Raw genomic sequence first — 27619 nt, 5'->3', positions numbered from 1 at the left:
GTGTGCAAATCAATAAGTGGACAAAAACATCTCTGCCAATGTGTTCATTTTTATTCAGAGAGGAAATATATATTTAAGTGTAATCTCTCTCTCATTCCCTCTATGAACCTTTTCTCCAAATCATTTCTTTTACAAAAGAAACTCATGACAATCAGCTGAACATAAAACATTCTTTTTGGCATAATTATAAGTGGTATGGAGGTACCTCTCTGAACAGGATGATTCTTCAAGCCCTAAAGAGTCTTCCTCTTTCTACCCTTTTATAATGTTCTATTTTTCTCTTTTCCCATCATTTCACGTCCAAGTTTTGGAACCTGAGTTAACTAGGACGGTGTGAGAGCATTTCCAGAGGCCTAATTTGGTAGCATGTCTTATTCTGAATGGGATGCATCTATGAAATTAAAAAAATTTTCTTTTTGTGACTGCCTATTTTCACAGTCCACTAAGCAAAAACACAAAGCAATTTTTTTTCTTACCCCCATTTTCCCTTTCTCCCTTCATTTTCTTTCTTCCCCTGTGGAGTTCAAATTAAAAAAAGGTGAAAATTGAAGCTGTTGTATGGAAGGCGACTGCAACATGCATATTTGATTTTTATGATGGATCTAAATTGCTGAATAAGGCCATGGAACAAAGGGAGACTGCGGCTTCCTGCCCATCACATGCAGCCACTGAATGCAGAACAAAAGCTTCGGCCATTAGGGGCTCAGCAGGGAGACACATTACATAAATGACTTTGTCTTCTCTGCCCCCTCCCCCCCACTGGGTGCACTGGACAGGGATGGGTGTGTGTGTCTATGTGTTATGGTTTGCTAGGGCAAGAGATAAGAAATCCTAGGAGAAGCAATGGGAATAGAAATGAACAGCACGTTATGATTCAAAAGGGCCACGCTTTCCTCACTACACCAGTGTAGCTCTTAGTGCTGTGGTCAGAGTGTCACCTAAGACAACTACTCCCCAACAAAACTTGGTGTGTATTCAGAGTAACCTGTAGCTTTTCTTTATACTGTTTTCTTTCTTTCATCAGGAATGATGAAGTAGAAGGAAAAAACATTTAGAAAAATATAGAGCCCTAGTATTCCAAGGTAATTGCTAGGTCAGCTTCAAGAACAAACAGACATACAGTTTACTGTGGCACCAGTTTCCTAGGAAAATACACTCTAATTCCTCCTTCCAGGCTCAAGGCTTTTCTTTCGGCAGGACAAGAGATGATATCAATAAAAACGTCCTAAGCTATCACATAGCAGTCGGTCTATTTTTAGGAGGCCCCCTGTGGTGGTGACTTGAATAGGTACTACTGTTTTATCTAGTTTGAAAAACCAGCAATTCTGCACACACCTTCTCAATAATCTCTGCACGGTATTGCAGTTTTGTAGAAGAATTTTATTAATTTTTTTCTATTTTTTATTTTCCTCATCCCTGTGAATTACCTGAAGATGCAGAAGAATTTTAGTAAGCTTCACAAAGGTCAATCTTTCTACTACTTCTGGTATCAATGAAAGGGGTAAGGAACAGGAGAGAGTCTCTGCAGATTCTAGGTTGAAGCACAAACTGTACATTATTAAAGGTGACACAGTGAACTGGGTATGTTAGGACTGACACCCAGGTCAATGGACCCCTATTTCCACCCCAACTGTCACTAAACATTTCATGTGGGGAAACGTCTCTGTGGTTAAGTTTGTACTTCAGAAATTGTACTAGGATTTTCCAATAATCCTCCAACTCTCTAATGGGAGAAAGCAGTCCTACCATGAGCCAAAATAACTGAAGGCCTTTCTATCATGTGCGTGGAACCAGAACTGAGGGTTCTTGGAGAGAATCAATCTCAAAGACAAAACCAACTTAAGGGTGTATCTTGAAGTCACCTAACAATAACTGAATTGTGTAAAGCTAGCTAAGGGAAATGCCATGAGACAAGTGCCATTTGTCACATACCATCATTACTCTGTCAAAATGGGCTATTCATTTAAAATAAGGTAGAATCTTATGACTTATATAAAAGTTGAGAGGTTATGAGGGACAAAGAGTGGGTTGTCGCTGTAAAGTAATTCAGTTCTGAGCTACAGAGGTCACCAGGCTATCTTTTTATCAGTTCCTTTGGGTCTCACTTTCAGGTGTTATTTAAATATTTTTTTAAAAAGATAAATCTTTTTTATTGGATGGGAGAAGGTCTCTGCTTCATGGATTGTGGATAATAGACAGACTTATGCTTATCAATAGTTTTAAGTAACTGGGATGAATAGAAGGTTAGGGAGAGTCCTTTAACCCTGTATGCCCAGTGGTGAGGGGGTAACAGTCAATATGGATAAATAAGAAGATGGATGAGTACAGTAGAGATGAGACTGCTGAATACTTTATTCATTTATTCAGTTATTAAATATTCATTAATCGACTACTAGGATTTCATATACTGTGGATTCTATGTGAATAAGACAGGCACAGTCCCTGCCCTAAATAATATAATAATCTTATGGTTGGGTGTTGCACAGAAGATATAAAATAGTTATACAAATATATACATAGGTTAACAAATGACAAAAGACAGAAAAAGTGAAATGTTCTATGAGAATGTTAACTGAGACAAACTATCTCATCCTTTAATGAGCAACAGACATTAAGCTGAAGCAGGAAAGAAAAAGTTACATATGCTGTCACCACTTACATTTCACCTTTTGGAGGGCATCTTAAGATATCAATTAAAAATATGACTCAAGGAAATTATGTATTTCTTTAGGCTCTTATATATCTTCACCTCTCCTTTATCCTATCAAAAAAGGAAAGTTTATTATTTTGCTTAAAAGTAAAACAAAATACCAATTTAGCTACAGGCCTTAGGTAATTCAAATTTAATTACTTCAGAGTAAAAGCCAAAGGTCACAAGGCTGTAACTGTTCTATCCAACATGGTAGCCACTAGCCACATGTGGCTGTTCCTACATTTAAATAAAATGAAGTAAAATTTTAAAAATTCAGTTTCTCCACTACACTATCTACCCTTCAAGTGTTCATTAGCATACCGTACACTACAACTAGAGGCTATTAAATTAAAATTAACTAAAATTAAATATGCAGTTCCTCAATGGCACTAGCTATGTTTTGAGTGCTCAATTTCAAGTGAGTAATGGCTATCATAGTGAACAGTGCAGACAGAGCATTTCCATCATCGCAGAAAGTGCTATTGGATAGTACTGCAAAACTACCTGGCACACTCTCCAACTGTTCCCTCTCCAATTTCATTTTTTACTCTTCTCTCCTTGCTCATGTCCCTCCAGCCATGGCGAAATCCTTGCTGCTGCTTGGGCGCACTAGGCATGCTCCTACTTCAGGGCTTTTGCATGATTTGGCCCCTACTTTCCTCTCCAGTTCCTTGTCTCTACACTAGCCATGCTGGCTTCCTTTCTCTGTCATTCCCAGTCTTTCTTGTCCCAGGGCTTTACACATATCGGTACCTTTCCCTGGAAGGCTCCTCCCTCCCTGCTTTACTTTTCCTTCAAATATCACCTCATTTATCACTTCATTAAGAAAGCCTTTTCTGACTAGATCAAATTTTCCTGTTACAAACTCATGTTCCTTTCTCTCATAGAACTTATTACAGTGGCAGGTTTACATTTATTGTGTCATTTTTAAATTCATGACAGACTCTTCAAATCCACTGAGAGCTCCACGAGGGTAGGGACCATGTCTGTTTTTGATTACCACTGTATTCTCAAAAGGTAGCAGAATGAATGGAAAAAGTAGGAGTTTAACAAACATCTATAGGCCGGGCGCGGTGGCTCACGCCTGTAATCCCAGCACTTTGGGAGGCCGAGGCGGGCGGATCACGAGGTCAGGAGATCGAGACCATCCCGGCTAAAACGGTGAAACCCCGTCTCTACTAAAAATACAAAAAAAAATTAGCCGGGCGTAGTGGCGGGCGCCTGTAGTCCCAGCTACTTGGGAGGCTGAGGCAGGAGAATGGCATGAACCCGGGAGGCGGAGCTTGCAGTGAGCCGAGATCCCGCCACTGCACTCCAGCCTGGGCGACAGAGCGAGACTCCGTCTCAAAAAAAAAAAAAAATCTATGACTGAATTATGAATGAATGAATGCTGGGGAATGGCAGCCAATGGTATAATAAGTTAAAAGATGTATGTTGTGTTGCTTCTTCCATGGATATCAAACACCCAAATTCCAAAGGTTATACACAGTGAACAAAAATGAATGACAGGGATTGTAAAAATGTGGGAGGTATAAAGTACTTCTTTTAGGTTGATAAAAAAATACTGCCCCCCCAAAGAAAAATTGTTATTTGAAAATGATAGAATTATGAGTGTTATTTGTATTATTTTTGCTCAGCTAAATTTTCTAATATTTTCCATAATAGTGTATTAATATTGTAAGCATGTTATTTTTTACTGCAACATAAAATCATTCTGGCTTCAGTGCAGCAGAAAACCAAAGTACCTAGGAGGGGCAGCAGTTAACCATAAGAGAGCTTTTTCCCGCCCCTCTTCTAGACAGATAAGAGTTGAATTCTTGGTTCATGGCTAGCTGAGCATAGATCTCAATAATCATTCTCATTCTTATATATTAATTTCAAAGCAAAAGATTTTAGTTTACAGATTCCAACTTTGGTTTCTGATACTGGGTTTGCTCCCAAAATTGTATGATCTTTCTTTTGAATGTAACAAGTCCACATATTCTACCAATTGAGATTAGTTCTGAGGAATTAAATCTATTCACTTCTTCAACAAACATTTTTGTACGCCTTTTTTTTTTTTTTTTTTTGAGACAGGGTCTTACTCCGTCACCCAGACTGGAATACAGTGGCACGATCTTGGCTCGCTGCAACCTCCGCCTCCTGGGCTCAAGCGATTCTCCTGCCTCAGCCTCCCAAGTAGCTGGGATTACAGGCGCACACCACTACCACCTGGCTAATTTTTGTATTTTTACTGGAGATGGAGTTTCACCATGTTGGCCAGGCTAGTCTCGAACTCCTAACCTGAAACGATCCACCCACCTCAGCCTCCCAAAGTGTTGGGATTACAGGCATGAGCCACTGTGCCTGGGCTTTTTGTATGCCTTCTGTAAATAAGGCATTTTGCTGGGGAAATGGTCAGCAAAACACATATTAATACATCTCTTTCAGCCTTACTAACCTAGCTAATTCCTAAGTGAGCATGTAAGATAAAAATTCAGTTACCACCTGTCACACACATTATTTCATCATACCCACAAGAAAATGTTTTAATAAATAATTTTTTAATGCGTGCTATTTGTAGATGAGTGAAAAATGCTTTTATTTATTGGTATTATTTTCATAAGGGGTATCTGTCACCCAGGTTGGAATACAGTAGAACAATCATAGCTCACAGTAGCCTCAAACTCCTGGGCTCAAGTGATCCTCCCACCTCAGCCTCCTGAGTAGCTGGCATTACAGGTATGAGCCACTATGCCAGCTGAAAAGTAATTTTTTTTGGTGGGGGGGCAGATATGGTTTTGTTCAGTCACCCAGGCTGGACTGTGGTGGTACAATCTCAGCTTACTGCAGCCTCAACCGCCCTGGGCTCTGGTGATCGTCCCACCTCAGCCTCCTGAGCAGCAGAGACTATAGGCATGCACCACTATGCCTGGTCAATTTTTTTATTTCTTGTGAAGTTGGGTTTTTGCCATGTTGCCCAGGCTTGGAAAAGCACTTTTACAGAGATATTATCTTAGCATTGTTTTTGCTATTGAAAATTTAAGTGCTCAATATAGTTACACAAATGATAATATATCCATATTATGGAATATTACACAACTATTAAAATGTAGTACAACTATTAAAATGTAGTGGCAGAAGTATATTTACTGCTACAGCAAGATAATGATATGCTGGTAAACGCAAAAGGTTTCAAAACTGTATGTTAGGCAAGAACGTATTTATATAAAAATTGTATAAGCAAAAAGGTTGGAATGATATCAAAATGTTATTTGCTATATCAATGGTTCTCACCTGTGCTTCATATTAGAATCAACGGGGGCACTCAATAAATATACTAATGCAGGATTACAATTAGAAATTCTGATGTAATTGACCATATGAGAGGCCTGGGCATCAATATTAAAAAAAACAAAAAAACAAAAAAAACACTCTAGATAATTCCAGTGTGCACCCAGACCTTCTTTTTAAGGCCTGAATTTGGTTAGTTATGCCTTTCTTATCCTTCCTCTAGAACCAATTTTTGGCTTTGCTGATGTCCTATATTGAATGTTTGTTTATTATTTCATTAACTGCTATTTTTAAATTATTTTCTTTCTTCTAGTTCTTTTTGGTTTTCATTTGCTCTTTTTTCTACTTTCTTCAGCTGGATGCTTAGATCACTGAGTTTTTGTTTTTTTTTCTTTTCTAATATAGGCATCTAAAGTTAAGATCCTTCTTCTATAAGCATCCCTTAGCTATGCCCCCCACAAATTTTGATATAAAGTATTTTGATTATAATTTATTTTAAAATATTTCCTATTTTTCTATTGTGATTTTTCTCAAGGCATGGGATATTTAATAGTGTATTTTGAAATTTCCAAAAACACAGAGCTTTTCTAATTATCTCTACGTTGTTCTTTTCTAGTTTAATTCCATAGTAATCTAAGATTATACTCCATCTGATTTCAATTTTCTCTGAAATTTGTTGGTACTCTATGGCTAAAATATAGTTGTTATAGACTGAATATATGTGCGCCCCTACCCCCCGCATATTCATATGTTGAACTCCCAATCACCAATGTGATGGTATTAAAAGGTGGGACCTTAGGGAGGTAATTAAAATCATAAGAGAGGAGCCCTTATGAATGAGATTAGTGCCCTTTTTGAAGAGATCCCAGAGAGTTCTCGACCTCTCCTCCTGCCATCTTAGGATACAATAAGACAACAATCTACAAGCAAAAAGAAGGCCTTCACCTGAACCCAACCGTGCTGGCACCCTGACCCTGGACTTCCAAACTCTGAAACAAGAGAACACATTTCTGTTCTTTATAAGCAACCCAGTCTATGATACTTTCTCAAAACAGCCTGAACTACCTGAGACAATGGTCCAATTTTTAAGTGTTGTGTGCACTTAAAAATAATGGGTATTATGTAGTTATGTATTCTGAAGTTTTTACATACAAAATAAATAAGTCATGTTTGTTAATTGTGTTGTTCAAATTTTCCCTCTATAAATTTGTGTTTGTTCAAAAAGTTATTGGGAATGGTATGTTAAAATCTTCTACTGTAAATATGAATTTGCATTTCTCCTTGTCTTGTAAGTTTACATTTTGAGGCTATGTTATGAGGTGCATACATTTTCAGAATTATTTTAGTTTCCAGGTGAATTAAATATTTTCTCAAGAAGTATCACTATTTTTCTCTAATATGTTTTTAAATGACATCCTTATATGATATTAATATACCTTTCCCATATATGTTTCGTTAAGATTTGAATGATTGGTACATTGTATTATTGGTTCCAGTTCTTCACCCCTTCCTGTATCCATATCCTTTGCCACATGACTGCTGTTCCTTAAACTAGAGGCAGGGTACCCTCCCTGCCCTTTGACTTTGGGTTCAGTCATATACTCACTCTGCCTTGAGAAGTTAGTAACTGTGCTGCAATCAGAGCCTTGAATTGCACTCATTCAACTGAACTTGCCCATGCTTCCACCATCACCATGAGATTATGTCCTGACTTCTAAGGAAGAACAGTAGACCTGGACCCAAACTCCAGTTTGAAGCCAAGCTAAACTTAGATCTGTTCATCCCAAGATGCATGAGAAAAAATAAATTATTTTTGTCACTAAATTAGAAGCGTTACTGTAGCAAAAGCTAATAGATAGAGAAGATGGTAACCTAGACATAGGATGCTCCAGTAGCAAAAACCTAAAATAATGTGATAGATTTGGAATCAGAAAGCAAGTAGTATGAAACTAAAATAGCAAGCTGGAAAATGGCAAGGAAAACAGTTACAGAAGACTAGAAAAATGATGACTCATAGTGGCAAAACATTTGGTAAGAATGTTGCATGGGATAATATGAGAGAAAAATTATATAATAAACTTGTGGAGTTCAGGTAGTAGAATATGAGGGAAAATGAACACATGAGCTGTCTGTTTTGTGCTGCATTTGGTAAGGTACTACAAGAAAGAAATGACATCAAAAAAAGTGGTCCATTTCCAAGTAGGATTAAAGTGACAATGAATTGTCCAGACATTTTAGAATTGTAAAATAAAACTGTGGTACCAAGTAAAAGCTATGGCCATTAAGAAATAGCTTCAGAGAGAAGATCAAACCCAGGGAAATGGGTAAAGACCACATTAAGAATACGGCTGTCAGACCCTGTGCTAAGACCTCTGAAAGATAGAGGTGCCTCACAGGTCATCTCTACTTGAGAAAAAAGGGTGACTTCTAGAAATATAAAAGGCTTACTCCCACAGATATGTGATGTACCCCCAGGTACCTGTAATATAAGTCTAAAGAGAACAGCATGTCTAAAAAAGAATTGTGGGTGTGGGTTTTGGCATATAGAGTGAATTGGAACCAAACATGAAAACCTAGACAGTTTTTGAGAGAGACAAATTAGTAGAAGCATGGCCGGCCTGGCCTAAAAGAAGTGGTGATTATTTGAGGTGTGACACACTTGTGGGGCAGAGGATTCTGGGAAATTAGTGGAGTAAGAGACACCAAGAATCCATCTCACCACCTAGACAAAAATTTCATTGGCAGAATCTAAGATAACTATTTTAAAACACTGGGAACTACTTTGAAGGCTTGCAACTTCTAGAGGAAGGCTTGGACAGTAAACAGTGATTATTTTCAGGTAGCTCTTAGCAAGGTGGCAGCTACGCATTCCGCATCCCCCAGCCCCATAGCAAGCAGCCATGCAAGCGTGTTCCTGGAGCAGTTGGCACACAATTATAAGAGCCAGGTTGGGCAATAAGTGCCCTGTGCTCCAAATATTGGGGAGCCATGCTGATAATCACTGATTGCTCATGATGGAGGGACAGACAGAGAGACAGGCAGCCATTGCTTTAAGTCCCTACCACCCCAGCTGAATCAATTTCCAGGGGATTTAAAGGACTAGCATATTTTGTGCCCCTAAAGTTTTATCTTTTTCTCTTTTTGGGAGTTTAGTATTTAAGAACTAAGGGATTCAAATGCAGCCACATATACAGAGGATTTAGAAAGTCATGGCATAGGCCCAGGGAAAGGCATAGGCTTAGAAAACAACTTGAGTTTTTAAAATCTTAAGTTGAACCCTCAGGCTGATGCCCAGCATGGAGATAACCTAAAACAAAAATTTTTAAAGCAAACCCTGGGGAAGAGGAGGATGTGATTTCCAGAGTAAAAGTTCAATTTCTGTACAGTTATCAACAAAAAATTCACAAAGCATACAAAGCCATAGGAAAGTATGGCTCATTCGAAAAAAATATTAAATAAACAGAAAATGTCCTTGACAAAGACAAGATGGCACTTACCAGACAAAACCTTCCAACAAATATCTTACAGATGCTCAAAGCCCTAAAGAAAAATTAGAAGAAGTCAAGAAAACATAGTTTGAACAAAGTAGAAACACCAATACAGACAGAAAACATAAGAAACTAAAAAAAATTCTTGACCTGAAAAGTACAATAATTGAAATTAAAAAGTTTACTAGACATATTCAAAAGCAGGTTTGAGCAGATAGTAGAAAGAATCCGTAAACTTGAAGACAATTTAAATTATCAAGTCTGAGGAAAAGAAAGAAGAAAAGTGAACACAGCCTAAGGCAATCAAGGTGACCAACACAGTGAAACCCTGTCTCTAATTAAAATAAGAGCCCCAAAAGAAGAGGAGAGATTATTTGAAACAGGAGTCAGAGAGATTATTTGAAGATAATGTGTGAACTCTCCAAATTTGATGAAATGCATGAATATAAACATCCACAAAGCTCAACTAACTCCAAGTAGGATAAAATCAAAGAGGCCCCACCAAAACATACTATAATCAAACTGTCAAAAGCCAAAGCCAAAGTATCTTCAAAGCAGAAAGAGAAGTAACTCATCACATACCAGATTTCTTCAACAAAAGTATCAGCATATTTCGCATCAGAAATTTTGAAGTCCAGAATGCAGTGGGCCAATATACTCAAAGTGCTAAAACAAAACAAAACAAAACTGTTAACCAAAAACCTTTATCCAGCAAAATTGTCTTTCAAAAGTGAGGGAGAAATTAAGACATTCACAGATAAACAAAAGCTGAGGGAGTTTGTTACCACCAGACTTGCCCATAAAGAAATGGTAAAGGGAGTGCTTCAAGTGGAAATAAAAGACACTAGAAAGTAACACAAAGCCATATGAAGAAATAAAGATAACCATAAAAGTAAATACGTAGGCAATTATAAAACTAGCATTATTTTAACTTTAGTTTATAACTCTACTTTCTGTTTGTACATGACTCCAAAGTCTAATGCATAAAAATTATTAAGTCTATGTTTCTGGACATACAAAAACTATCAGTCTATGTATAAAGATGTAATTTTGTGATATCAAAACGGTAACTGAAATGGCAAGGAGTTATATACAAGCAGTGATTTTGTATGGTATTCTGTATTTGTATGCTATTGAAGTTAACTTTGTGTAAGTTTAAATTTGAATGTTGTAACTTAAGGATGTTAAATGTAATTCCTATAGTAACCACAAAGAACACAGCTATGGAATAAACACAAAAGGAAATGAGAAGGGAATTAAAACACCATACTATAAAAAATTAATTAAACATTGAAGATGACAGCAATGTAGAAAATGAGGGGTAAAAAATGCTATAAGGCATACAGAAAACAAACAGCAAATGAAAGAAGTCTCTCCTTAGCAGTAATTACTTTTAATGTAATTGAATTCAGTTTTTCAATCAAAACAGAGATCAGCAGAATGGATTTTAAAACATGATTCAAATATGTGCTGTCTATAAGAGACTCATTTTAGATCCAAAGACATAAATAGGTTGAAAGTGAAAGGATGGAAAAAGATATTTCATACAAATAATAACAAAAAGAGAACAGGGACAGTTATACTAATATTAGACAAAATACATAAAAAGATATTACAAGAGGGTAGGTATGGTGGCTCATGACTATAATCCCAGCACTTTGGAAGGCCAAGGCAGATGGAACACTTGACCTCAGGAGTTCGAGACCAGCCTGGGCAACATAGTGAAACCCTGTCTCTAATTTTTAAAAAAATTACAAGAGATTAAAAATGACATATATTTTAATAAAAGACTCAATACGGCAAGAAGATACAACAATTATAAACATTATACCTTATAACTGACCATCAGAATATATGAAGCAAAAATGGTAAGAATTGAAAGGACAATTCTACAATAATATTTGAAGGTTTAATACCCTACCCTTAACTAACTGAGATTTATTCCTGGAATGCAAGGATGGTTCAACATATGAAAATCAATCAGTTTTCTTCAGTTGGCTTTTTCCATTTTATATTTTACATGCATAGATACATGTAAACATATCATGTTAACATGTAACAGATATAATATATGTACAGATACATGTAAACAGATACAAAGTTAACAGAATGGAGGAAAGAGAAAAAAAATAGATGATCATCTCAACTGATGCAGAAAAGCATTTGACAAAATTCAACATCCTTTCATAACAAAAACAACACAATAGGGATAGAAAAAATCTACTTTAACATAATAAAAGCCATACATGAACAACCCACAGCTAATATCATACTCAATGGTGAAAGACAGAGAGCTTTTTTTTTTATAAGACCAGAAACAAGGCAAGGATGTCCACTTTGCCACTATACTCAACATAGTAGTGGAAGTTCTAGCAAGGGCAATTAGTCAAGAAAATGAAAAAAAAAGGACATACATATTCCAAATAAAGAAGCAAAATTATCTCTGCTTGCAGATGTTATAATTGTTTATATAGAAAATTCCTAAATATGCCACACACAAAAATTGCTAGAATGAATGAATTCTGCAAAGTAGTAGGATGCAAAATGAATACTCAAACAGCAGTTGCATTTCTAAACACTAATAATGAACTGTCCTAGAAGAAAATTAAGAAAACAATGCATAAACAATAGCATCCAAAAGAACAAAATATTTAGGAACAAACTTAACCAAGGATGTGAAAGGCTTATATAATGAAAACAACAGAACATTGCTGAAAAATATCACAGGTTAATGGGTTTGAAAACTTGATATTGTTAAGATGTCACTAATACCCAAAGTGATGTACAGATTCAATATCAAAATCTCAGTAACATATTCTGCAAAAACAGAAAAATCCATCCTCAAAACCATATGGAATCTTAAAGACTCTGAATAGCCAAAACAATCTTGAAAAAGAAGAACTAAGTTGGAGTATTCATACTTCCTGATTTCAAAACTTACTACAAAGCCACAGCAGTCAGAACAGCATGGTACAAGCATAAAGATGACATATAGACCAACATAATAGAATAGACAGCACAGGAATAAATCCTAACATACATCATCAAATGATTTTCTTCAATGATGCCAAGACCACTGGGGAAAGACCAATGGGGAAAAGACTGTCTTTTCAAAAAATGGTACTGGGACTTTGGGAGGCCGAGGTGGGTGGATCACAAGGAAAGCAGTTCGAGACCAGCCTGACCAACATGGTGAAACCCCATCTCTACTACTAAAAATACAAACAAATTAGCGGGGCGTGGCGGCGCGCGCCTGTAATTCCAGCTACTCAGGAGGCTGAGACAAGAGAATTGCTTGAACCCAGGAGGCGGAGGTTGCAGTGAGCCAAGATTGTGCCACTGCACTCCAGCCTGGGCGACAGAGCGAGATTCCATCTCAAAAAAAAAAAAAATGGTAATGGGAAAACAGGATATCCATATGCAAAAGGGTGAACTTGGACCCTTACCTAATACTATATGCAAAAATTAGCTAAAAATGAATAAAAAGCCTATACATAAGAGCCAAAACTATAAAACTCTTAGGACAGAACATAGGGCAAAAGCTTTATTTACTACAATGGATTTGGCAATTATTTCTCAAAAGTGACATGAAAAACAGTAAAAGGAAAAATAGATAAATTAGACCTCACCAAAATTAAAAACTTTTGGGTATCAAAGGTCACTATCCACAGAGTAAAAAGTCAATCCATAGAATGGGAGAAAATACTTGTAAATCACATGTCTCATAAGAAATATCTGGAATAAATAGAGAACTCCTACATTAAGCACAACCATTTTGAAATATGTCTGCAAACTCCATTATATGAATCATCTGTGTGATTCTGTTTATACTGAGTGTTGCTTCTCTTGGTTTTCTATTAGGCAGTACTTTCTTAAGCTTTTTATTTTTGATAGAGTACCAATAGTGCTTACAAAAACATTGCGGTGAGACAATTGATGGCCTAGGATAATTTCATCTTCCTCTAAAAATGGTTTAAATTTGTTTCTGTGATGGGAAAGGGCACTAGCAATTATGAGTCATCTAAATCAGATTAGGATTTCAAGTAATTTGAAGTTGGTTTTCACTTGCGTGGGTGACCTGGTCTATTATAGGTTTAACCTTCCTCTTAGATTTAATTAGACATTTCTCCCCTCTCTGTGGGCCTTGAACTCCAATTTTCCCCTGGGCTTCATGATTCTGGGTATCTCTATTCAGCTTTGTAGTCTTTTAGCCATCATCACTGGAAATGGCAGATATTTGCATCTACAGGAAGTGGCACACACCTGAAGAGGGAATACACTTCTTTTTGAGACTGAGTCTCCCTTCATCACCCAGCTTGGAGGGCAGTGGTGCGATCTGGGCTAACTGCAACCTCTGCCTCCCGGGTTCAAGCGATTCTCCTGCCTCAGCCATCCAAGTGGCTGGGACTACAGGCACCCACCACCATGCCTAGCTACTTTATGAATTTTTAGTAGAGACGGGGTTTCACCATGCTGACCAGGCTGGTCTTGAATTCCTGACCTCAGGTGATCTGCCTACCTCGGTCTCCCAAAGTGCTAGGATTACAGGCATGAACCACTGTGTCCAGCCTAGGGGCAATGCACTTCTAAGTGCCGGACATCACTCTTGGATGTTCTCTGAGTTGGGCTCATAATTTTTCAGTATTTTGTTAGTATTACAAAGCCTCAGGTTTTTGTTTCCATTTCATCCAGTTTTCTCATTTATTTTTTTTGAAACAGGGTCTCACTCTGTCCTCTGTCACTCAGGCTGGAGTACAGTGGCCCGATCATGGTTCACTGCAGCCTCAACCTCCCAGGCTCGAGTGATCCTCCCACTTCAGCCTCCTGAGTAGCTGAGACCACAGGCATGCACCACTACAGCCTGCTAATATTTTGTATTTTTGGCAGAGATCAGGTTTTGCCATGATACCACGCTGGCAATCTTTCTAACTATTGTCAGCATTAGGAATGGTCCAAATTACTTAGTCTACCATTATCACTAGAAACCAAACGGCATGCCTTAATTTTTAAAAGCATATTTAACTGTCAAAGTAAATTTTCACAAAATGGTAGTCATATCATTTACATAAGAATCATCTATGATGCTGGTTTAAAATGCAAATTCCTAGATTCTCTCTCCAATCTAGCTGAGTCAGAATTGTATTTTAAACCAGAATCCCAGTTCACTGAGTAACTATATGCATATAAAAATAAATTATTGGAACAATACCTTATTTATATAATAGTACTTGACCATCAGTCATAAATTACTACTTTTCAGATGAGTTAATGGAAATATATGTGTTCTAATACAGTTCTTAGTGTAAGTTGCATCTTTAATATGAAATTAGATGAAAAGAAAGACAAAAGTGAAGAAAACTGCTATAGTTTCCAAGTAATCATTCTTAAATGGATAGGCAAATACATTGTTAAATTTTCCACATAGAAATATCTTCCTGATTTTTTATTTAAATATAAACTATTAGTTTAAAATATGGTGGCTGGGCACAGTGGCTCATGCCTGTAACCCAAGCACTCTGGGAGGCCGAGGCGGGCGGATCAGCTGAGGTCCACAGTTCAAGACCAGCCTGACCAACATGGAGAAACCCCGTCTCTACTAAAAATTAAAAATTAGCTGGGCGTGGTGGTGCATGCCTGTAATACCAGCTACTCAAGAGGCTGAGGCAAGAGAATCGCTTGAACCCAGGAGGTGGAGGTAGCGGTGAGCCAAGACTATGCCATTGCACTCCAGCCTGGGCAACAAGAGCAAAACTCCATTTCAAAAAAAAAAACAATAACAAAAAAAAAACATGGCTATAAGATCTGTATCTACACATGTAAATTATGCAATGAAAAGAGCCAAATGAAGAAAATTTCTTCCCATTAATAAGATCAAGATGTGTTATAATGGGAAACTATCCAATAACAGAAACTGTTTTATCTTTTCTGTCCTGATTTAAAATTCTTATTTAGCAAACAGTCAGATAAAAGAATTTTAAGATCAAGATAAATGATAAGAGTGAACACTATAGAATATATTTAAAACTTAGCCTAATGAATCTTGATTAAAACTTCCTAATGGTGAACTTAAAATTTCATGTTTAGGAAGAAATGAGAAATAAATTTGTTCTCTTACATACATAACTCCCAGTAACATGTTAGACAGCTTCTATATCTTCTTGAAATTTTAAGTGTTCACTGCCTGTCTTAGTTTTTGCTTAGACAAGCCATACATATTAACTTCCATTAAACTTGACTGAGAGATTAGTTCCCTTTAACCCATTAACGTCTGTGAATATAGTCTTGTTAATTTCTTCCAATTTCCTTTTAATATAATGTTCAAAATGCAACACAATTGTCTTGTGTAGTCTTGCTGGAATAAATAGAAGTACATAACTATGTTCTTCCAGTTACAGTAGTCTCCCCTCATCCACAGCAGATACTTTCCATAACCCTAAGTGGATGCCTAAAACTGCAGAGAGTACCCAACCCTACATATACATTACCCTTTTTTCCCCCACACATATACATAAGTATGATAAAGTTTGGTTTGTAAATTATGCACAGTAAAAGATTAACAATAATAATAAAATGGAACAATCATAACAATATACAGTAAAGTCATGTGACTATGGCCTTTCTCTCTCAAAACATCTTATTGTAAGGTACGCATTTATTTTCAGACTGCAGTTGACCACTGTTAACTGTAACCACAGAAAGCAAAACTGTGAATAAGGGGGGACTACTGTATATGCTCCTTTCATTTTATTGCTTTACCAGGTAGGAACATTTTAATCAATTTTTTATTCCCCTTTTGCTTGTCTCTACCTACTGCTTAGTCATCTTCCTAAATGTTCTGTGCGGTCCTTGATCTTTTAACTCAATCTAATCACAGTGCTTCCCAGCATGCTATTCATCCTTGCAGGATCTTCATCTTTGGTAAAAAGGTAATGTTCAATTTTGAATTGAAGGGATTTTGAATTGTTTGATTTTATCTGTCTCTTATAACCAATGTATTTTCCCCCACACTATAACTGACCCTCATTGTAAAGCTTTTTATGAAACATTTTACCAAAACTAAATTCAAACTGCATGTTCATAGGGGAAAACAGAATACCAACAAGACAAATCAGCTCCACTAGTCTTTGTAAAAATAACTTAAAGTCTGGAGAACGCTAAACACATAAGCAGAGTCCATAATTGATCACCTCTCTTAGTTAAGTTGTTAGTTAAGTGAGAAGGCATAATGCCAAGGTGAAGGCTAGGATTCAATTAATGGAATCATTAATATTATTCATTAAGTAAAAAATAATATTTGTCCAAATTTCATGCATTAGGAGCAGTTACTTTTTATGTATTTGGTTCATATTTGTTATGGAAATATTAAAAGAAAAATCACACGAGAATAATGTTAAGATCAATGAAAGTAAAATTTTAGAAAAAAACTTGCCACATTAGAAATCCATTGTTATAGCCATAAAACTTCATACTTCTCACATTTTCTTTCTTAGGCTCAAAAAAGAGCCTAAGATTTGAGTTAGGGGCTTAGAAGGTTTTCTCTTTCTCCTCTCTGTAAAAGTGAGAAGATAAAGAAGGGTGAGAGGAACAGGACTGCTTAGACTCCCATTCCTCTATGATGCCACCTTCAACATAAAACACCTAAAATGGTGGCAAACCAAATGATGTCTCAATAAAAAAGAAGTCTACAAAAATGCTGTAGGCATTTAAATTACACTTTTTGTTCACTGCTTAATCTTTATTTGTTCAAGGATTTGCAGTGGGAAAGGAAGCTATGCCCCTGAGAAACAATTCCCAGAATGCACTATGATCTGTGTTGCATTTGAGGACTCTGCTTATTAAGGAAACCTACAAATTTCTTCTTTGTGTTTTAAGAGGGCGGAATCTAGTAATAACTCAAATGCTCAGAACTCTCCTCAGACATCATTTTTCTAACAGTCCAAGAGGAGCTGATTCAAGGTCAGAGGTCATAGGCTGTGCTCCATTTGCCAGCTGGCAGTAAGCTCCAAGGACAGAGGGTGCAAGAAGCGTGACGATTCCTCAAGATGCTCATTCACAGAGCATTGAGAGTATCCCCACGGATACCTCAGAAATACTCATTTTGTCTCAGTTCGGTGGGTTACAGAAAAGGGGGTCAATTTTCTGGGATAGACTTGCAGAGCTTCACATGCTATGATCCCATCTCACTGAGGCTGACTTTATTTTACACTAACACAATAAAGCTTAACAGAGGACAAAAAGTTTCTATTATAGATAAATATTATCTGCTCTGTGACTCTGAACCGAGCAATACTGACTAAAAGGCAAACATCTGGAACTTCAGTTGAGGCAGAAACCGTGACTAACGTGAACACTCTATCTGGAGCGATAGGAAAACTTCCACAAGGAAATCATATTAAAATGTTGATCTATAATTATTTTGGTCGAGTTCTTTCCTATCTCAAACTTCTACCTCAGATTTTTTTGTGCCAGTCTCATACCTCATCCAGATTTTGACTGTTTTTCCCTTCTTAAATGGCTAAACTGAGATGCTGTGTGTAAGAAATAGAAAGTGACAAGATATGACCAAAGCATTGGAAATCAATCCAAATGAAATGTGCTTCTTAACTATAAGTGAACAGTTGAAAACAATCCTCTTTTATAGCCATGGAGATAAATACTCTGTTTTTATTAGGAAAAAACTGCTTTGGACTGAATAAAGTCATTTGATTAACAAGTCAAAGCAGATGGTTTATTGATATTTCAAACAGGAGTTTACAAGGTCTAGTGAAAAGAGAGACCCAGGTCTGAATTAACAAATTACCCTAGTATATGGGACACTGACAGTTCACTGCTAATAGATTTATGGGCTACTGCTGGGTGTTTCATCCCCATTTGGGTTATTATGATAAAATATTGGGGCATGGGTAACCTATAGCCTTACTGCAATATACTATGTTGACCTTTGATCTTTAGGACCTGACAGCAAAACTATGTATTAGATTTTTAATTTGTCTTAATCTCACAGGATCAACATGAGTATTTTGTGGTTTATTTTGAAGAGGCTATGCAGTGTAACTAACACATGGCGTGCTGCCTTGAGATTTGCTAGAACTCAGTAAGTTAGCTCTCAGAGGTTATAGGAGTCACATGTTAAGATCCAGAAGTCACTGGCAAAATATGCTACGTGGCTTGAAGGTGCACATAAAGAATCTCACTGTTCAACAGAGAAGGAAGTATTTCTTGCCTCTTGGAAAATTTCAGAATTTTTTTATTTGAAAATGGATCTTTTAATTTCGATGAATTTAGTTTTTTATCTCTAGCGCTTCCTTTTATTCCTCCCAAAATCTGCCTGGATATTCGATACTCCCTGTTCTTTTCTCATATTTTCCATTCCTTCTTTTTTTATGACATAGGGTCTCACTTTGCCAACTCTGCCACCCAGGCTGGAGTGCAGTGGTGAAATCACAGCTCACTGCAGCCTCAGCCTCCAGGGCTCAGGTGATCGTCCCACCACAGCCTCCAAGGTACCTGGGATTACAGGTACACACCACTACGCCCAGCTAATTTTTTTGTTTTGTTTTGTTTTGTTTTTTTGGTAGAAATGGTTTCACCATGTTGCCCAGGCTGGTCTCAAACTCCTGGGATCAAGAGATCCACCCAGCTTGGCCTCTCAAAGTGCTGGGATTGCAGGTGAGTCACCGTGGAAATTTAACCCAATTCTGCCATTTTAGAAATGTATTGTTTTCTGCTCAGATCCAAAAAAAAAAAGGGAGATTAAGAATAAAAGAAAGGTACTTTATAAAACATGTCTAAGTTACTGTGATACTTTCCTTTTGAAGGTAGAGGAAGCAATAGAATAAACTGGAGTAGCTGTTATTTTTCAAAAATTACACTTATAAATTCAATATTAATTCTGGTGCAAGAAAAAAAATCAGCCATACATTTTGAAAAATCATCTAAAATAAAATGAATTAGATGACATTTTCCTTCGGAAAATAAAAGGGAAAAAGGCTGAGTTATTCTGAATTAGTGGAAGAAAAAATATGTAATCAGGGAGTATATGTAAATTTGCAACAAATTTTAACTCTGCAGCAGTGCAGATGCAATATCTGCATCTGAAGATGAAATTGTGATGAATGGGACACAAATGCATCTTTTATTTCCTCTCCCAATTTTTTTTAGTCACTGGTAGACAGATGGATACAGGAATTCTTATGATTTGTTCTGCAGTCTCTCCCTGCCCATCCAAAGCCCCAACTCTACTAGGATCTGCAGAAATAATTTAAAAGCCTGAAAGATAATTGTTTTCTCTAAGCTTACTTTCTCTACCCCCTCTACATTTTCCACAAGCACGAGGTACCCTCCAAGTGAACTAACCCTGTTGTAAAATACAGTATTTCTTATCTTTATTCTTCTAGTCTATCAGTTGTCTTCAGTTGTATGTATAAGGCTTTAGATTAAATTGATAAAAATTAGTATTCTGATTTGTCTTCTCTTTAGACTTGACTTTGTATCATTTATTCCTTTAAATGCTATTTGTGTTCCTCCCTCTATCTCTCTGTCCTCTTTTTCTGTTTGTCCATGAGAGGGGTATTATATAAAATAGAATTGTAAAATCCCAGTTTCCATTCTATCTCAAATTTTCTTTTTCTAAAAAGAATCCCTGCTTTTTAGAAAACTAAAACCCCAAGTACTAATATGGCTTTAAATATCCTGAGTTACTCTTTTAGTAAGTGGAAACTTTAGTTTTATATTTGAAAGTTATAAACCTGTAAGTGAACCTATAGAATAATAAATAAGACTTGTTAACCAGTCTGGGCAACATAGTGACACCCCATGTCTTAAAAAAAAAAAAAAAAAAAAGTACAAAAATTAGCTGGGTGTGGTGGCTCGTACCTGTAGTCCCAGCTACTCAGTGGCTGAGGCAGGAGGATCCATTGAGCCCAGGAGGTAAAGGCTGCAGTGAGCCATAATCGCACCACTGCATGCCAGCCTGGGCAACAAAGCGAGACCCTGTCTCCAAAACAAAACAAAACAGACCTGTTAAATGATACAGCTCAAATTCAGAGTAAGTTGTAGAAGAGAATGTTTGACACCGCATATTCTCACTCATAGGTGGGAACTGAACAATGGGAACACATGGACACAGGAGGGGAACATCACACTCTGGGGACTGTTGTGGGGTCGGGGGAGGGAGGAGGGATAGCACTGGGAGATATACCTAATGCTAGATGACGAGTTAGTGGGTGCAGCACACCAGCATGTCACATGTATACATATGTAACTAACCTGCATATTGTGCACATGTACCCTAAAACTTAAAGTATAATAATAAAAAAAAAAAAAAGAGAATGTTTGAACAGCTAAGAAGCTGGGCATATTGGCAGGTGACTCTGGAACAGAATCTACTCTTCAAGGACAGAATACTGATAATGTGATATCAAGTCTACAGAGTTAGCCTTAAAACAATAGAAATACAAACCTAAGCATTTTTTTGTTTCCATAAAACCACCTCTAATGAGATTATGGACATGTTTCAGAAGGTAGTGAGGCATTTTGAATTGTGAGTATCTTTCACATCTGAACTAACTGTCATGGCTCGTGTTCCTCCATTCCTTTCTCCTTTGAAGCAATCTTTAGGAGTTGGGTCATACTTACGGAGAAATATATGGTGGACCCCCAAGCCAAAGCCACCTAGTTTTAAGAGCACGAGTTGTGATAAAAGGCAGTGGTAGGTATAAGTGCCAGCCTAAGTAAGCAATGAATAACTCTGCTTAGTTAACCAAGTCTTTCAAGTAGTTCCAGCATGAACCCATAATGATATCCCAATTTCTACCACTCCACTCCAAAATTAGCATAAATTTCCTTTTATCAATTGCCCATGGCTTATCTTTCATCTTGAGTTTTTAACCTATATAAAGAAATAAAAGCATATTTACAGGTAGAAGGTAATGTGTGAGTTTGTATGCAAAAAAAAATAAAATTTATAATATAAAGGAAGGTTACATTTACAACTAGACACAGTGGAATACATTCTTTAAAAGCAAACAGTTAACAATTAAGAATGTAAGAGGTACTGTAAAATATTTTATAGTTGGAAGATAGGACAGAAGAATGAGAGAGTTTTTCAAAGTTTAAAAAAGATTTTAAAAGGGCAAACAATTCCACCTCAAATTAAATATACAGGAAGGCAAAAAAAATCTGTTTGGATAGAATGTTGGTGAAAGAAATGAATAAAAGAAAGAACTGTATTAGAAATAGAGAAGACAGGCAAATGAAAGGATACAGTATACTAACTGCCAAGGAAGGCAGACTTAGAAAAAAAAGTAAAATGAAATAATGCTCAATAAGGGAATTAAAGGAGATCAGAAAGGATCAAAAATACATTCAAAGGGAGTGCGACAGGACTACCATAACATATGAGAAATGAGTATTTCGCAGGAATGTTAAAAAGAAGCCAACGCGGCGGCTCACACCTGCAGTCTCAGTACCTTGGGCGGTGGACGCAGGAGGATAACTTGAGCCCAGGAGTTTGAGACCAGCCTGGGAAACATCGTGAGACCCCACCTGTGCAAGAAATTTCAAAATGTAGCAAGGCATGATGTGCACCTGCAGTCCCAGCTACTCTGGAAACTGGGATGGAAGGATCACTTGAGCCTGGGAAGTCAAGGCTGAAGTGAGCTATGATTCATGCCAAGTGCACTTCAGCCTAGGTGACAGAGTGAGACCCTGTCTCAATAAATACATAAATAAACAAATAAATGATAAAAATAGCTCTTTTGCTTAGCTTCTGTAAAAAGGAAAATGATAAGAAAATCAAGAACATGGGTGAGTCTGGTGACTCATGCCTGTAATACTAGCTCTTTGGGAGACCAAGGCAGGAAGATTGCCTGTGCTCAGGAGTTCCAGACCAGCCAGGGCAACTTAGTGAGACCCCATCTCTACAAGAAAATTAAAAATTTAGCTAGGTGTGGTGGTGTACACCAGAAGTCCCAGTTATTTAGGGGGGCTGAGGTGGGAGGATTGCCTGAGCCTGGGAGGTTCAGGCTGCAGTGAGCTGTGATTGCACCACTGCAGTCCAGCCTGGTCTACCGAACAGGACCCTATCTCAAAAAAAAAAAAAAAAAATCAAGAAGAAAGAAAAGAAAATCAAGAACTTTATACAAGAAGCCAGCAGTTGAAGCCACCAATAATTGAGAAAAAAAATACTATAAACCTAAAGGATTAATAAAGACACTGAAAAGACAATTATATTTAATTTTATTTACATATACAGATTTGTATGAAGTAGACCCAAGAATGTTTAAAAAATACTGTGGAACACCCATAACTCATCTTGGAGTCCACAGTTACATTCATGATCAAAGGACAATGATGACAACAATGACAACAACAACAACAACAACAACAAAAACCAAAGGGATTCTACCTCAACATTCTCAAGATAACAGAATTTGAAATCTTGTATTATATGTTCTGGCATTGGCTCCATGAAAACTATAAACTCACTGCTAATTCACACCTAAAGAGCTAAGAAAAAGACAACTAACTGATTACTAGTAATGGTAACTTTTACTAGATAAATCTGTGTCAAATAAACCACATAGGCTTTGCATAAAAGTTAGAATTTACTTAATAATGACAATTTAGAAGGGAGACAGCAAGAACATTTCGATATTCCTGAGATCATCAAGAATTTTGTAATACCTAATTTTCATTTAATAAACTTCTTGTGACACTTAGTAGATTCCAAGAAAATTTATTATAGTCTGGTTTTTATATGACAGAGTCTGTAAAGATGACACTGAAGTCCCGCTATTTCATTTTGGTCACATATTGCCTGATAACATGCAGTTGCAATAAATTCAGTACAAAAAAAGGTGAACTTAAAGCTCTCCATACCATATGTTAGAGTTTGATTAATGAGCTAGTAATAAATACTGATCTACACAGTAAAAAAGAACTTAAAAAAACTGTAAGAAATGGAGTTAGACCCCATATTTCTTTCCATCAGTATGTAAAATATGAACAGACTCTTATTTTAAGTTAATACAACAACATAGCCTATTCCCAGGCTTTATGCACAAGGAAAACATGTGACTGTCTTGAAATTTCTTGTCCAAATTCTGTGGAAAGATAGAGATTCTGCTCTATCTTTCCCTATAGCTATAGGGAAAATAAGTTGGGAAAAAAAAACACCAAAAACAATTTAGTTTGTCATTTGCAGATATTAGCAGAAATCAGGGATGCTTCAAAACTCCATATGGGACCACTGACTTAAAATTGCAGATTCTATCATGAATACCATTATAAATGTCAATATCACTGTAAGGAAAGTAACATTACCCCCAATAAATTCAAATTATGATGAAAGGATTACAGAATAAACATTAGATGATGTTTTCCAAGTGATCTAAAGGGTCTTACATTTTGTATCCACAGTCTGCATACTTGCTTTTTGTCTACGCAGTGTAGGAGGTAGATTACAATAAAAAAAGAATATAGAGATGATCTCATCCCATAGTTGGGATTTGTGCATAACAATAAATCAGGAAAACATGGAAATTCAATGCCATGATTAAGATAATTCTGTAGTTCTTTTAATATTTGTTTAGTTTAAATCAAAATATGAACAAAAAGGGTCAATAATCTGAGCTTACAAAAAACTTCTTAGGAAATTCTCTGAAGAGAGTACAATTGAGAAAGTTTTAAAAGGAAGGCAATAATGGAGAAGCCAGAATCAGAATAAATTATCCATTTGATAAGAATAAATAGTAATGATATCTTTAAAATCATAAATTCCTGGCCAGGCACGGTGGCTCATGCCTGTAATCCCAGCACTTTGGGAGGCTGAGGCGGGCAGATCATTTGAGGTCAGGAGTTTGAGACTAGTCTGGCCAACATGGTGAAACCTCATCTCTATTAAAAATACAAAAATTAGTCGGGCATGGTGGCAGGCGCCTGTAATCCCAGCTACTCAGGAGGCTGAGGTAGGAGAACCGCTTGAACCTGGGAGGCAGAGATCTTGGCTCACTGCCACCCCCACCTCTGGGATTCAAATCACTGAGGCAATTCTCCTGCCTCAGCCTCTCAAGTAGCTGGGACTACAGGCGTGTGCCACCACACCCAGATAATTTTTGTACTTTTAGTAGAGATGGGGTTTTACCATGTTGGCCAGGCTGGTCTCAAACTCCGCCCACCTCGGCCTCCCAAAGTGCTGGGATTACAGGTGCGAGCCACTGCACATGGCCGGTTATAACATGGTAAAAGATTTAACAATAAAAAGATATGCCAAGCATCAAACAGCTCAAGGTCAAGGGAATATTTCTGATTTTTAAGAAAGTGATACAGACGTTAAGACCTAAATAAAACTCAAGAAATGCTAACTAGTAGCATCTAGAATGACAAGGATATTGAAAATTCTTAAAGAAATTAAGTTCTGGGTAATCAGAATTAGATATTTAATATCAATAGTAAACTGGATGCTTTTATGGCTTAAGTCAGTGGACATGATTAGTTTACTATTTTTTCGTTTTTTTTTTTTGTTGTTGTTGTTCTTGTTGTTGTTGTTTGACACCGAGTTTCACTCTTGTTGCCCAGGATGGAGTGCAATGGCACGTGACCTCAGCTCACTGCAACCTTTGTCTCCCAGGTTCAAGCGATTCTCCTGCCTCAGCCTCCCGAGTAGCTGGGATTACAGGTGCCTGCCACCACACCCGGCTAATTTTTTATATTTTCAGCAGAGATGGGGTTTTGCCATGTTGGCCAGGCTGGTCTCAAACTCCTGACCTCAGGTGATCCACCTGCCTCAGATGGGATTACAGGCCTGAGCCGCCGTGCCTGGCCTACTAACTATTGTTGAAGTGATTGTAGAAATGAAAGTTATGCCTCTGACAGATGGGTAAGGACCAATATTATGACAGGGTTACCTCAAGGAATATAAAAAAGGCAGCCTCTTGGGGTTTGCTACTAAAAAAAAAAAAAGTCCAAAATACTGAACAACATGACCTATTTCAGGTATAGGAGCAGCATTCCCTTTTTTATTCCTCATTACAAAATTTTACAAGAAATTAATGATAATCACATTTATGCCCAGCCTTTTATCCTCCTTATCCTTCTGGCCTTCTGCATTTTACTGGAGTACCAGGTTGTCTAGTAATAAATAATGTAATAACCAAGCATACCACTTTAGGCAACTAGAGATAAACTGAGGGAGCAGTTCTTGTTGTACCTTATATACTCATTCTTGTTGCATATTATATGAAATTTGTTATGTTTCATATGGAAAAGCTGTATCTCCACAGTTGGGAGGTTTATTGCAAGAAATAGACGGGTAATGTTCTAGTTCTCCTGTAAAGCTTTTAAGACAACCAAATTGTCTTTGTATTGTGCAGGTATTCAAGTAGCCAAATGATCAACACAATATATCCTCAAAGCACATGAAGGGACCTTAGAAATGATTTGGTCCAATCATCCATCCAATGTAGGATTCTCCTCCATCCAGTGTAGGATTCTCCTCAGTTTCTCAAAATAAAGATCAACTTATTTACAAGTAACACCTTTTTCCAACCAGGTGGGAGTGTTCTTTCCTTCTTCTCCATGCTCTACATGACTTTATGCATAAAAGAAGGAGAATACCTTCGAACTCACTGCTTCTCAAATATTTGTTGCTAGTTGGAACATACCAAGGGCCTAAATATTACACGTGGCCTCACGAATAATTTTTTTCAATGCAAAAGTTAAAGAAAAAAGCTTTCCTAAACTACAAAAAATAGAGATTCCTAAAGGGTTTTTTCTGTTGAGACAATTTTTTAAAAAGCATCTATCACATATCATTTAGTAAGTACAGATAGTCATCCAGGTGGGTGATAACATCTTGGGGTCACCTGATTTATGCTGTGGTCATTAAAAAACTGTATTGCTAAATGAATTCAGATCTATGGTTTATTTCTTTATCATTCATTCAGGTCTCAATTGCAACACAGTTCTGAGATGTTACTCTTGTCTACACTCTTTGTTCCATAGTTGCTGATAACATATACCTGTATTTGCAAATAGTGCATGCAGCAGTGGGACACAGACATGACCTAGACCTAAGATAGTTTCAGCAAGTAATCAAGGAATACTATATGTACTTTAATATAGACGGAAATAAAACGTATTAGGAAGAATCACTTTGTAAGTTTAATTACGGAGACAAAGGAGGTTAAAGAGAGGTAAGGTGCTCTGAATGAGGCCCAGTATAAGTTACATATCTAAGGATGGGAGTTACCTACATTCGATAAGAAGTAGAATCAGCAACTATGAATGGAAAGACTTGTAAAATAGCCCAGGGTAATTTGCTGAAGATGAATATACTTGTCTGCAGTGTTATACGGCTTAATCATTCTTATTACTACTTCTATTTTGTCAGCAGTGGTTAGGTACCAACTTGCGACAAAATGAGATGTCTTCCTGAAGTCTTTTTACTGGAGGTATGAAGAACGAACTATGATGGGAGGAGCCAAGATGGCCGAATAGAAACAGCTCCAGTCTACAGCTCCCAGCGTGAGCGATGCAGAAGACGGGTGATTTCTGCATTTCCAACTGAGGTACCGGGTTCATCTCACTGGGGAGTGTTGGACAGCGGATGCAGGACAGTAGGTGCAGCTAACCGAGCATGAGCCAAAGCAGGGCGAGGCATCACCTCACCCGGGAAGTGCAAGGGGTCAGCGAATTCCCTACCCTAGTCAAAGAAAGGGGTGTGAGACGGCACCTGAAAATCGGGTCACTCCCACCCTAACACTGAGCTTTTCCAATGGTCTTAGCAAACGGCACACCAAGAGATTATATCCCGTGCCTGGCTCGGAGGGTCCTATGTCCACAGAGCCTCGCTCATTGCTAGCACCGCAGTCTGAGATCAAACTGCAAGGCAGCAGTGAGGCTGGAGGAGGGGCGCCCGCAACTGCCGAGGCTTGAGTAGGTAAACAAACTGGCCCAGAAGCTCAAACTGGGTAGAGCCCACCAAACCTCAAGGAGGCCTGTCTGCTTCTGTATACTCCACCTCTGGGGGCAGGGAACAGCCAAACAAAAGGCAGCAGAAATCTCTGCAGACTTAAATGTCCCTGTCTGACAACTTTGAAGAGTGTACTGGTTCTCCCAACACACAGCTGGAGATCTGAGAACAGACAGACTGCCTCCTCAAGTG

General features: G+C 37.4%; 1 long non-coding RNA gene across 4 annotated transcripts in view, besides 3 other annotated features; it reads right to left on the bottom strand.

Moving 5' to 3' along the window:
• The window catches only part of ZFHX3-AS1 (ZFHX3 antisense RNA 1), a 156522-nt gene that overhangs the window by 98203 nt on the left and 30700 nt on the right, over nt 1-27619 (bottom strand). For 2 of the 4 annotated variants that reach the window (NR_171703.1, NR_171704.1), the window contains exon 2: nt 10036-10119. The exons of 1 other annotated variant lie outside the window; for it this stretch is intronic. This is a non-coding gene — a long non-coding RNA (ZFHX3 antisense RNA 1). Of the gene's footprint in view, nt 1-9462; nt 9506-10035; nt 10120-27619 lie in introns of all 4 variants that reach the window. One more of the 4 variants, NR_171702.1, reaches the window with a different exon arrangement.
• Nucleotides 187-734: an enhancer, noted in NCBI's record as "OCT4-NANOG hESC enhancer chr16:72756617-72757164 (GRCh37/hg19 assembly coordinates)". NCBI's record gives its function as "activates a minimal SCP1, AML or CMV promoter by ChIP-STARR-seq in naive and primed H9 embryonic stem cells {active_cell/tissue: H9 hESC(naive and primed)}" and the evidence as "EXISTENCE:reporter gene assay evidence [ECO:0000049][PMID:30033119]".
• Nucleotides 735-1284: an enhancer, noted in NCBI's record as "OCT4-NANOG hESC enhancer chr16:72756067-72756616 (GRCh37/hg19 assembly coordinates)". NCBI's record gives its function as "activates a minimal SCP1, AML or CMV promoter by ChIP-STARR-seq in naive and primed H9 embryonic stem cells {active_cell/tissue: H9 hESC(naive and primed)}" and the evidence as "EXISTENCE:reporter gene assay evidence [ECO:0000049][PMID:30033119]".
• Nucleotides 17202-18783: an enhancer, noted in NCBI's record as "VISTA enhancer hs20". NCBI's record gives its function as "enhancer in: hindbrain (rhombencephalon)[4/11] | midbrain (mesencephalon)[8/11]" and the evidence as "EXISTENCE:transgenic organism evidence [ECO:0001131][PMID:17130149]".

Source organism: Homo sapiens, chromosome 16 (assembly GCF_000001405.40).
Source record: "Homo sapiens chromosome 16, GRCh38.p14 Primary Assembly".
Classification (NCBI taxonomy): domain Eukaryota; kingdom Metazoa; phylum Chordata; class Mammalia; order Primates; family Hominidae; genus Homo; species Homo sapiens.
The sequence above is the reverse complement of the archived record's forward strand: the minus strand, read 5'-3'. Positions and strand labels throughout refer to the sequence as shown.